Raw genomic sequence first — 11,245 nt, 5'->3', positions numbered from 1 at the left:
GATATAAAACTACCACCCAAAACTGTTTCCTCCAGGACCTGAGAGTCTTCTCTTTAAAATGCAAGGCTTCAGGGAGATAATTCTGTCTCTCCTAGTCTGTAGGGGAGGCTGAGGGCCTAACTGTGGGCACCTTGCTCCAACCTGCACCACTGCCCCGTCACAAAGACATGAGAAGTGTGTGTGTCCTTCAGATAGACAGCAGTCAACAAACCCAGGTGGCCTGACATGGCCTAACCCTATTCACACCTTTAGTGCCTTTCCCTGAGCACACCCCACCTTTAAAAGTCTCCAGCCTTTTGTTTTGGAGAAGTTGAGTTCAATCCACACTGGTCTCTCTTCCTTGCTGCCATAGTATTGCTGAATAAAACCTGTGTTCACCATCTTGACCAGTGTCGGTCGGCATCGTTTATCTGGGATAGTGTCATAACAAAACCTAACCTCTCCTGACTGATAGTTAGTTGTCATTCTTACTCTTTTTATTATTATTGCCGAAGGTGATGATTTCTGGAGGAGCCTGAGCTCTTTCTCTTTCCCCTTCTCCCAGCTTCCCTTCTCCACTACATCTCCGTTATTGCATCAATTTCAGGAATACAGCTCCCAATAAATGGAAACAGTAGGACAATTTCAGTAATCATTTTCAGAATTTCTAGAGTCTTCACTGTAACTATTTTTTAGTTTCAGAGCTACTTGTTTCCCAAAATAAATCAAATCAGAGAAAACACATCTCTAGAATTAATTTTTTTTTTTAAGACAGGGTCTCTCACTGTTACCCCAGCTGGAGTGCAGTGGCACAATCACTGCTCACTGAAATCTTGAACTCCTGGGCTCAAGCACCCAGGCTTCTAAGTAGCTGGGACTACAGGTGCATGCCACCACATCAAGCTAATTTTATTTAATAGTACAGAGGAGGTGTCACTATGTTGCTCAGGCTGGTCTCAAACTCCTGGACTCACGTTATCCTCCCACTTTGGCCTCCCAGACTGCTAGGATTACAGGTGTGAACTACTGTGCCTGGCCTAGAGTGAATCTTTAGAATCCACCTCTACTGTGATGTGTCAATATAAGTTAGCAAGAACCAGTGACTTCTGAGTATATGAGTTCCAAACTTCGACATTTCCAAAGTCCCACCTCTGATGGCATTTGTAGGTGACCCCTTAGAGAAAACTTACAGTGTTCTCGCAGGTGCCAAAATTTATGCTGCTTTTTGCCCAACAGTTGGTTAGATATCTCAAGCAACTAAGAGCGTACTGCCATGGATTATGCCTTAAAGTAATGACGGTGCATTTACCAAACCACTCTTCCCTCTCTTACCCTCCAAAAAAATTGCTGTTCTCTCCAGGGCAGCCACAGCTGGAGGGGACGCTAGCTAATCCTCTTATCCCACCACTAGATGGCAGGACAGTCCAGTCTGGCAAATCTCTCTGCCCTGCCTGAACTTCGATGTCCACATCTTTAGTGAAGAGTCTTCCTAACAGAAATGTACTTCCTGGTTAAACATTAGTTTGGACTCAGAGAGCAGACAGGCTCAGATTCAGGCTGAGCCTCCTCCAAGGCAGACAGGTGTTCTCCTGAGGTGCCATTAGGGTTGTACTCATGTGGAGTGAGACGGGGCAAAGCGGAGAGGGAACCAGGGAAGGGAAAGAATTGGTGCTGATCAGATGTCCTGGAGCTTAACTTGCCTGCAGTCTGATGGGTTAGTATGGCAAAGTGGGGCCTGGAAGCCTCAACTCTCTATACCCATATAACCCCTCCACCCCATCCCTCTGCCTCCTGAAGACCCCTGTACAGCAGAGGCCAGTCCCAACAAGGAGGCCAGCACCAGGCTCCCCATCCTCTCTGCTCCAACTCTGTGGGTGTTTAACACACCAAAAGCAAGACTTCTACCAGCCAGGACCCTCTGTGAGCCCCCAGCCAGGAGACAGGCTCTGGGTTCTGAGATGAGGGAAGACGCCGGCATGATGTATGCACCAGCCTTGGGACTCCTAGCAGTACTTCCTTTCTGACACACTATTTTTTCAAAACATCATCCCATCCCTTGACTCAATGCTCTCACTAAGGCCAAGCGCCACGAGGTGACTGTGCCAGAAGCTCCCCAGCCAGTCGGAGCAGCACTGAGATCAGCAGATCCCAGGATCCTACCTCCCAACCTGTTGTCTTCCCAGCACACTGGACTATAGAGAAGACACCCTTGTGATTTGCTACAGGACCCTGCCCCAGCCTCCCTATCAACCTGCACAGTGGTGAGATGCAGTGAGGGCTTCTAGATTATGATCCGGACTAGGATCAGATTGGTCTGGTCTGATGACCCTCTCGGACACTTACTAGCTATGTGACCTTGGGCATGTAGTTTAACCTGTCTGTGCTTTGATGCCTCATCTGTAACATGTGAATTCTTATTGTATCTATGTTTCAAGGCTGTTGTAAGGATAAAATGAGATTGTGTGTGTTAAGGGCTTCCCACAATACCTGACATACAGTGCTCTGTAAATGGCAGAATCAAAAGTTGGATCGAAAATTTAATAGATAGCCACAAAAACAAACAACCCAACCTAAAAATGAGGAAAGACCTGGCCGGGCGCAGTGGCTCACGCCTGTAATCCCAGCACTTTGGGAGGCTGAGGCGGGCAGATCACGAAGTCAGGCGATCAAGACCATCCTGGCCAGCAGGGTGAAACACAGTCTCCTCTGAAATACAAAAAAAATAAGCCCAGTGTGGTGGTGTGTGCCTATAGTCCCAGGTACTCAGGAGACTGAGGCAGAGGAATAGCTTGAACCCGGGAGGCGGAGCTTGCAGTGAGCCGAGATCGCGCCACTGCACTCCAGCCTGGGCAACAAGAGTCAAACTTCCTCTCAAAAAAAAAAAAAAAAAAAAAAAAATGAGGAAAGACCTTTAACAGACATTTCTCCGAAGAAGATATACAAGTGGCCAACAAGCACATGAAAATGTACTCAACATCACTAATCACCAGGGAAATGCAAATCAAGACCACAATGAGAAATCACCTCATACCTGTTAGGATAGCCATTATTGAAAAACAAAACAAAAATCATAAAACGAGGGTTGATGAGGATGTGGAGAAATCGAAGCCCTTGTGCACCATTGGTAAGACTGCGATATGGCCCAGCCACTATAAAAACAGTATGGGCTGGGCACAGTGGCTCAGCCAATAATCCCAGCACTTTGGGAGGCTAAGGCGGGAGGATTGCTTGAGCCCAGAAGTTCAGGACCAGCTTGGACAACACAGTGAGACCCTATCTTTACAAAAAATAAAAAATTAGTCAGACGTGATGGCACACACCTGTAGTCCCAGCTACCTGGGGATCTGAGGTAGGAGGAGGCTTGAGCCTGGGAATTTAAGGCTACATTGAGCTATGATCAAGCCATTGGGCAACAGAGCAAGATCTTGTCTCATAAATAGATAAACAGAGACTCTTCAAAAAATTAAAAATAGAATTATCAAATGATCTAGCATTCCCACTTCTGAGTATATACCCAAAAGAATAGAAAGCAAAGTCTCAATGAAACATTTGTATATCCACATTCATAATAAGATCATTCACAGTAGACAAAAGGCAGAAGCAACCCAAGAGTGCATTAATAGATGAATGGGCAAAGAAAGTGTGGTTCATGCATACAAAGGAATATCATTCAGCCTTAAAAAGGAAAAAAATTCTGACACATACTATAGCATGAATGGACCTTGAAGACATTTGTTGTCAAATAAGCCAGTCACACAAGGACAAATACTGCATGATTCCATTTATATGGAATCTAAAGCAAAAAAAAAAAAAAAACCTCATAGAAGCTGAAAGCTGAAAGCTTGTTACCAGGGCTTGGGGAGGAGAGATGGGGAGCTGATGCTCAATGCATGTGGAGTTTCGGTCACACAAGATGAGAAAGTTCTAAAGTTAACAAGCCTGTACTCTACACTTACAAATTTGTTAAGAGGGTAGATTTCATCTTACATGTTTTTCACCACAATAAAAAAAAGACCGAGGCCAGGCGCGGTGGCTCATGCCTGTAATCCTAGCACTTTGGGAGGCCGAGGCGGGCCGATCATCTGAGGTCAGGAGGTCGAGACCAGCCTGACCAACATGGAGAAACCCCGTCTCTACTAAAAATACAAAATTATCCGGGTGTGGTAGTGCATGCCTGTAATACCAGCTACTCAGGAGGCTGAGGCAGGAGAATCGCTTGAACCTGGGAGGTGGAGGTTGTGGTGAGCCGAGATCGCGCCATTGTACTCCAGCCTGGGTGACAGAGCAAGACTCCGTCTCCAAAAAAAACAAAACCGAGAGAGAGCTGTCCCCTTGCAAGTCTTAAGGCAGCCACACTCTTCCCATCTAAGCCTAACTTCCCTCCCCTGCCATCTGTGGCAACTGCAGCTTCCATTAGGCATCCCTGATAACCAAGAAACTGTTAATTTTTCTTCCTGCCCCCTTCCCCAAAGGAGAGCCAGCCTAGACTGGCCATTCTTACAGGATTCAAGAATGGAGGAAAGTGCTTTTTCCCTCTTTCAAGTTGCCTCTAGTTCATGGTTTATTTTTTCAGTAAGTGTTTGTTGAGTGTCTACTATATGCCAAGCACTGTGGTGAACTTGGGAAACACAATATTGGATAGGACCAGAAGGACCCTGCTCTCAGGGAATTTACTTTCTAATAAACAAACAAGGTGGCCGGGCGCAGTGGCTCATGCCTGTAATCCTAGCACTTTGGGAGGCGAGTGGATTGCCTGAGCTCAGGAGTTTGAGACCAGCCTGGGCAACACGGTGAAACCCCGTCTCTACTAAAATACAAAAATAAAATAAAATAAAATTAGCCAGGTGTAGTGGCGTGTGCCTGTAGTCTCAGCTACTTGGGCAGAGGTTGCAGTGAGCCGAGATCGTGCCACTGCACTCCAGCCTGGGCAACAGAGTGAAACTCTGTCTCCAAAAATAAAATAAAATAAACAAACAAGTTAACTTCGGGAGGTGTCGAGTGCTATGATGCGACTAAACAGAACGATCTGTGAGCATCATGGGCATGTCCTAAAGTTCTCTCTGAAAAGAGGATGACTGCCTCGAGACTTAAAGTGAGAAGAATCAAGCTAGCAGGGATGGCATTCTGGGCAGAGGAAACAGTATGTGCAAAGGTCCTGGAGCAGAAAAGGGCATGCTGTGTCTAAAGAACAGAGAGAAGGCCAGTGTGGCCCCAGCACAGTGAGTGGGAGGGAAGCTGGAGCTGTAGCCGGAACTGGACTGTGCCGGGCTTCATAAACTGAAGTAGAAGCAAAAGCAAAATGTAAATTAATATTGCAAGGGATTGTCCTGAGAGATATTGTCAGCTACTAACATGCAAGTCACTCACTGAAGTATAGTATCCAAGGACATCCTTGGGTTCTCACCCAGGATCTGTAACTTGTTACCTGTGTGACTCTAAGCCAAGGGTTCTCAAACTCAGCTATGCATTTGAATCACCTGGAGGTCTTGTACAATGGGCTCCCGGGCCCCACCCCAGAGTTTCTGATCTGGAAAGGGCCCAGAGTTTGCGTGTCTACCAGGTTCACAGGTGGTGGTGACACTGCTGGTCCTTGGACCACATGTTGAGAACCATGCTCTAATGATCCTCTCCAGCAAGTCAGTGATTCTCTCTGAGCCTTTTTCTTCCGTGAAAGTGCCCTTCTGACCTGATTGATGTGATCATCAGATGAGATAAAATACAAAGCATAAAGCCCTTTTTAAAGAACAAAAAAAGACAGACACACAGAATGATCACCTTAACGGTGTTCACTAAGCTCCCTTCCTGTGTGTTTCCTTCACAGCTGATACAGAATTTCACATATGGCAAGAGCAGCTGACTGCTTGGGAGCAATGCCGGTTTTATTCCATTCACTCTACGTTTATCTAATTCTCTAAACACATAGGAGAACCTCCGGTGCTGAAGAATAGAGAGCTGCCCGCCCCGCCTGGGAGAAACCTTCAGATGCGCCCCCGTTGTTCCCCCGCCGACAGAGGCTTGATGCCGCTTCAAGTGCCCGCAGTTATTTTTGTCAGCCATCCTCTCCTCCCACTCCTCCCAAAGAAAGCATTCAGTGAGTCATCGGGAGACCCGGAGACATCTGACGGTTGCTCAGCTGGTATCCGGCCACTGAGGGGAAGGAGGAGTGTGTTGATGTCCCCTTGGACTCTCCTTGAAGAAACTGCATAGATTCACAGACTCCTGGAAAATCAGAATCCAGAATGTGCACATGATACACGTTTGGTGTGTGTGTTTATTTGTATTCACTCACGGATTCAACAAATATTTGTTGATTACCTGCCATCTACCAGACTTGTTTTAGACTCTGAGGACACAGCATGTACAAAACAACAAAGCCCCTCTCATGGGGTTTATGTGCGTAATAGTCACTCATAGAGCATGTACTGGAAGTCGTGAGGTGTGTAGTCTGGCAGGGAAGAGAGTCAGCCATCAGATGGATGTGGTGAGTGTTATGGCACTGAGATGGAGAGATATACTGGGTGGCGTACGGAGAAGCACAGGAGGAAGAGGCTTCCAAATGGGCACCCTGATAAGTGGACGTTAAATGGCGTGTGGCATCTTCCAGGTTCACTAAGGGAGGCTACTCTCCATTGAGTTAACCTCAAAAATGCATACATGGAAGTACCCTAACACGTGACCCCTTTCTCCTTTCCAATTTCTTTCTATGCTGGCCCCACCCCTAGGTCTTGGAGGTACATAGCTTGTTGTCCGGTTTCAGTTTCACAGCTGGAGAGAAACTTTGCCTCAGGAAGAAGTATACTGGGAGCCTCACCCATACTGGGTTTAGATGAGATTTAGATGAGATTTTGAACTTAAAAGTTGGTGCTGCAAAGAGTTAAGATTTGGAAACTGTTGGGATGGGGTGAATGTATTTTGCATGTGAGAATGACATTCATTTTTAGCCAGAGGGAGAAGCGTTATGGGCTGAATTATGGTCCCCCCAAAATTATTCATGAAGTCTAATACCCACAACCTCAGAATAGGACCTTATTTGGAGATAGGTCTCTAAAGAAGTAATTAAGTCAAAATGAGGTCATTAGGGTGGACCCCAGTCCAGTAGGATTGGTGTCCTTATGAGGCGATTAGGGCACAGACACCCACAGAGACACCCACAAAGGGATGACCACGCGAAGAGGCAGGGAGAAGATGCCATCCACAAGCAAGGAGAGAGGCCTCTGAAGGAACCAACCCTGCCAACACCTTGATCTTGAACTTCTAGCCTCTGGAATTGGGAAGAAACAACTTTCTGTTGTTTAAACCACCCGGGCTGTGGTATTTTGTTATGACAGCTCTAGCAAACGAATACAGAGGTGTTTGTGAAAAGGAAGCAGCACAGTGTGGTAGGGTAGGGTAGTACACTCTGGGCACCTCCAAACAGTTCTGCAGACTTGGAGTGTAGGGTGCAAGGGATGGAGGGGAGGCTGGAGAGATGGGCAGGGGCCCGGCCATGAAGGGCCTCTGGTGACAAGGATTTGGGACTTAATTCAGCATTCAAGGTATTGAGGTATTGAGGATGAAGTCAGGCTGGGCGCGGTGGCTTGCGCCTGTAATCCTAGCACTTTGGGAGGCCAAGGCAGGCAGATCACGAGGTCAGGAGTTCAAGACCAGCCTGGTCAACATGGCGAAACCCTGTCTCTACTAAAAATACAAAAATTAGCCCGGCGTGGTGGCAGGCACCTGTAATTCCAGCCATTCGGGAGGCTGAGGGAGGAGAATCACTTGAACCCGGGAGGCAGAGGTTGCAGTCAGCCAAGATTGTGCCATTGCACTCCAGCCTGGGCAACAAAAGCAGGACTCCATCTCAAAAAAAAATAAATAAATAAATGAAAGGAGGAAGTCGGATACAATGCTGTATTGCAGATATAGTACAATGCTGTATTATAGGAAGATCATTTAAAGGAGGCATGGAGGAGCTAAAAGGAGAGAAGAACTGGAGGCAAGAAGATAGGGGTCACACTAACAGACATAAAACATGGGTCAGACACCGTGGCTCACGCCTGTAATCCCAACACTTTGGGAGGCTGAGGTGGGTGGATCACGAGGTCAGGAGTTCGAGACCAGCCTGGCCAACATGGTGAAACCCTGTCTCTACTAAAAATACAAAAATTAGCCAGGCGTGGTGGCACGCGCCTGTAATCCCAGCTACTCGGGAGGCTGGGGCAGGAGAACCACTTGAACCCAAGAGGCGGAAGTTGCAGCGAGCCAAGATCGAGCCACTGCACTCCAGCCTGGGTGACAGAAAAAGACTTTGTCTTGGGAAAACAAAACAAAACAAAACAAAAACATGATTCTGGCTGGGACTAAGGCAAGGGTAGCCAGGATGGAGAGGTAGGGTCCCAGAGAGATGCTGGGAATGTAGAATCCACAAGAGTTGGCTGCAAGTTGGATGAGGAGCAGGGAAATGCTGAGGGAAAGAGAAGCGAGAGGAGCAAGGGTGTGGGGAGGAAGCGACCTCCACCCTGCACGTGTTGAGTTTGAGATGTGATTGTGCTCTGACTCCACACGCGCAATTGAGAACCAGCTCCTGCAGAAGGGAACTGAACCAAAGGCCTCGGAGGAGACTGCCTGGGAAGAGAAGCTGGACAAGGGCAAATCAGTGGACCAGTGTGCCATGTGGTATACTGAAGGAAGGGGGGATTCTCTGAGGAAGATGGAGAGGTGATGTCAAAGAGGAAGAAGGCAAACTAGGAAGGAGCAGGGTCTTGACCCCTACTGCATTGAGAAACAAGAGGGTGGAGAAAGCCCCAGACAGGAAAGAGCAGTCGCAATGGCAAATGCGGCAGACAGGTCAACATGAGGACTTGGAACTTGCCCAAGAGAGTGGCTCAAGAGAGTGAACCGAGCCCCTGCCAATAAATAAATATTTGTAGAATGAAGGAAAAACCCCTGGAAGGTGAGACTATGAGCACCATCTCCAAAGAGCGATCACTGCCGTATCATTTTATGCCTTTCCAATCTCGTACCGGGAATCCCCATCTTCCAAGTTGTCACTGAAATGACTAAAAGAGTATGAAAGTAGAGGGTGATTACACTAGACATAGAAGAAAACGGCCGCTCAGGCCTCAGAGACCTCAAGGAACTTCTGCGAGGCATGGCGGAAATAAGAGTAGATTCAAAGAAGTGCCTGCAGACCTTTAAGTCACCATGTGCAGAGAAAAGTGGAAAACCTCAGCAAAACCCCAGCAACACCCTGAGCATTGGCAAAAGGCATATTCTGTTACACACATCACAAGCAGGGGCATGCCAACCACTGTGCCAGGTACGGAGGCACTGCAAGAACCAAGACAGATGGAACCTGGCCCTCAGGGAGCTTAATTCTGGTAGGAAAGGTGGACAGTAAACAAGTAAACAAATCAAGCAAGGAATCACAGAGTATGATAAGTATGATGAATGAAATAAATGGCCGGGCGCAGTGGCTCACGCCTGTAATCCCAGCACTTTGGGAGGCCGAGGTGTGTGGATCACCTGAGGTCCAGAGTTTGAGACCAGCCTGACCAACATGGAGAAACCCCTTCTCTACTAAAAATACAAAATTAGCCAGGCGTGGTGGCGCATGCCTATAATCCCAGCTACTTGGGAAGCTGAGGCAGGAGAATGGCTTGAACCCGGGAGGCGGAGGTTGCTATGAGCCAAGATCATGCCATTGCACTCCAGCCTGGGCAACAAGAGTGAAACTCCATCTCAAAAAAAAAAAAAAGAAAGAAAGAAACTAGGATGGGCCAGGCACGGTGGCTCACGCCTGTAATCCCAACACTTTGGGAGGCTGAGGCGGGTGGATCACCTGAGGTCAGGAGTTCAAGACCAGCCTGGCCAACATAGTGAAATCCCGTCTCTACTAAGAATATACAAAAATTAGCTGGACATGGTGGCACGCATCTGTAATCCCAGCTACTTGGGAGGCTGAGAGAGAAGGACCCCTTGAATCCATGAGGCGGGAGTTGCAGTGAGCTGAGATTGCGCCACTGCACTCCAGCCTGGGTGACACAGCAAGACTCCATCTCAAAAAAATAAAAGAAACAAACTAGCATTAGCCAATAGAAACTGGACAGGGACTAGTTAAGATGTATGGCAGTCAGTTTATCTTGCTGAAATTTTTCCAGCTTGAGTTACATGACAGATCTCATGTATCATCATGTTGTAGGATCTATCACATTTTGCACAGTTAGAATTTTCTCCTGTCACGTTTTGGACAGCCACCACTGCCAATGTAGGAGTGGTGGGGGAGGGGTTGTTGGAAAAAAATTCTGTAATTTGCTCCCTGAGGCTACACTTTGATTCCCTGGGTCAAAGTAGCAGGGATGGGAGGCAAAGATGAGCCAGCAGAAGTGGAAGGGGACAGTGACCATATCCCAATGTCACAGAGTACATGCAAGAAACAATGTACAGCCATTTTTTATGCCCATTCCTTATTTCTCCTGATAATACAGCCTGCTCCAGGCACAGCAGGGATGCTCAACCCAAGTCCCTCCCAGAATTTTCAAGTGAGAGACAGGGAGGACGCTTCCTCTTTGGCCCAGCAGCTGTGAGGATATGAGCTTAGAGATCATGATGCTTTTTCCCTGCTGTGTGAAGAGGCTTAACTGCACAAAGAGAGAATGAAGCCAACACACCCAGAGCAGTGGGGATAAGAGGTGGAGAAAATGCGCCCTGCTGGTCCAGCTGTCCCTGCGGCCAGCTGCACCCCATCACTTCCTGTGCTTTGGTTCTCTGAGCCTCTTCCCTTTTCTGCCTAAACTGCTTTCAGGTGAGTTTCTGCAATTTGCAACTGTATTAGGGTTCTCCAGAGGAAAAGAACCAACAGGATGCGTGTGTGTGTGTGTGTGTGTGTGTGTGTGTGTGTGTGTGTGTGTGTAGAGAAAGAGAGAGACAGAGACAGAGAGAGATTTATTGTAAGGAATTGGCCTGTGCAATTATGGAGGCTGAAACTTCCCAAGATCTGCAGTCAGCAAGTTGAAGACCCAGGAGTATACATTCCAGTCTGAAAGCCACAGGCTCAAGACCCAAGAAGAGCAGATGTTTCTGTTTGAGACCAAAGACAGAAAAAGACCAATGTCCTGGTCCCCACAGTCAGGCAGGAAGGGGTTTCCTATTACTCAGCCTTTGTGTTCTACCCAGGCCTTCAACTGATGGGATGCAGCTCACCCACATTAGAGAGAACAATCAGCCTCACTCAGTCTACAGATTCAAATTCTGACCTCGTCCAGAAACACCTTCACAGACACAGCAG

General features: G+C 47.5%; 2 annotated features.

The window, feature by feature from the left end:
* Positions 1,498-1,547: an enhancer, noted in NCBI's record as "active region_11767". NCBI's record gives its function as "activates an Ori minimal core promoter by ATAC-STARR-seq in GM12878 lymphoblastoid cells {active_cell/tissue: GM12878}" and the evidence as "EXISTENCE:reporter gene assay evidence [ECO:0000049][PMID:35858748]".
* Positions 5,356-6,555: an enhancer, noted in NCBI's record as "BRD4-independent group 4 enhancer chr17:16419598-16420797 (GRCh37/hg19 assembly coordinates)". NCBI's record gives its function as "activates an origin of replication core promoter dependent on BRD2, P300/CBP, MED14 and CDK7 cofactors, and independent of BRD4, by STARR-seq in HCT116 cells {active_cell/tissue: HCT116}" and the evidence as "EXISTENCE:reporter gene assay evidence [ECO:0000049][PMID:35650434]".

This window comes from Homo sapiens, chromosome 17 (assembly GCF_000001405.40).
Source record: "Homo sapiens chromosome 17, GRCh38.p14 Primary Assembly".
Taxonomy (NCBI): Eukaryota; Metazoa; Chordata; class Mammalia; order Primates; family Hominidae; genus Homo; species Homo sapiens.
This window is presented reverse-complemented; position numbering and strand designations above follow the sequence as displayed.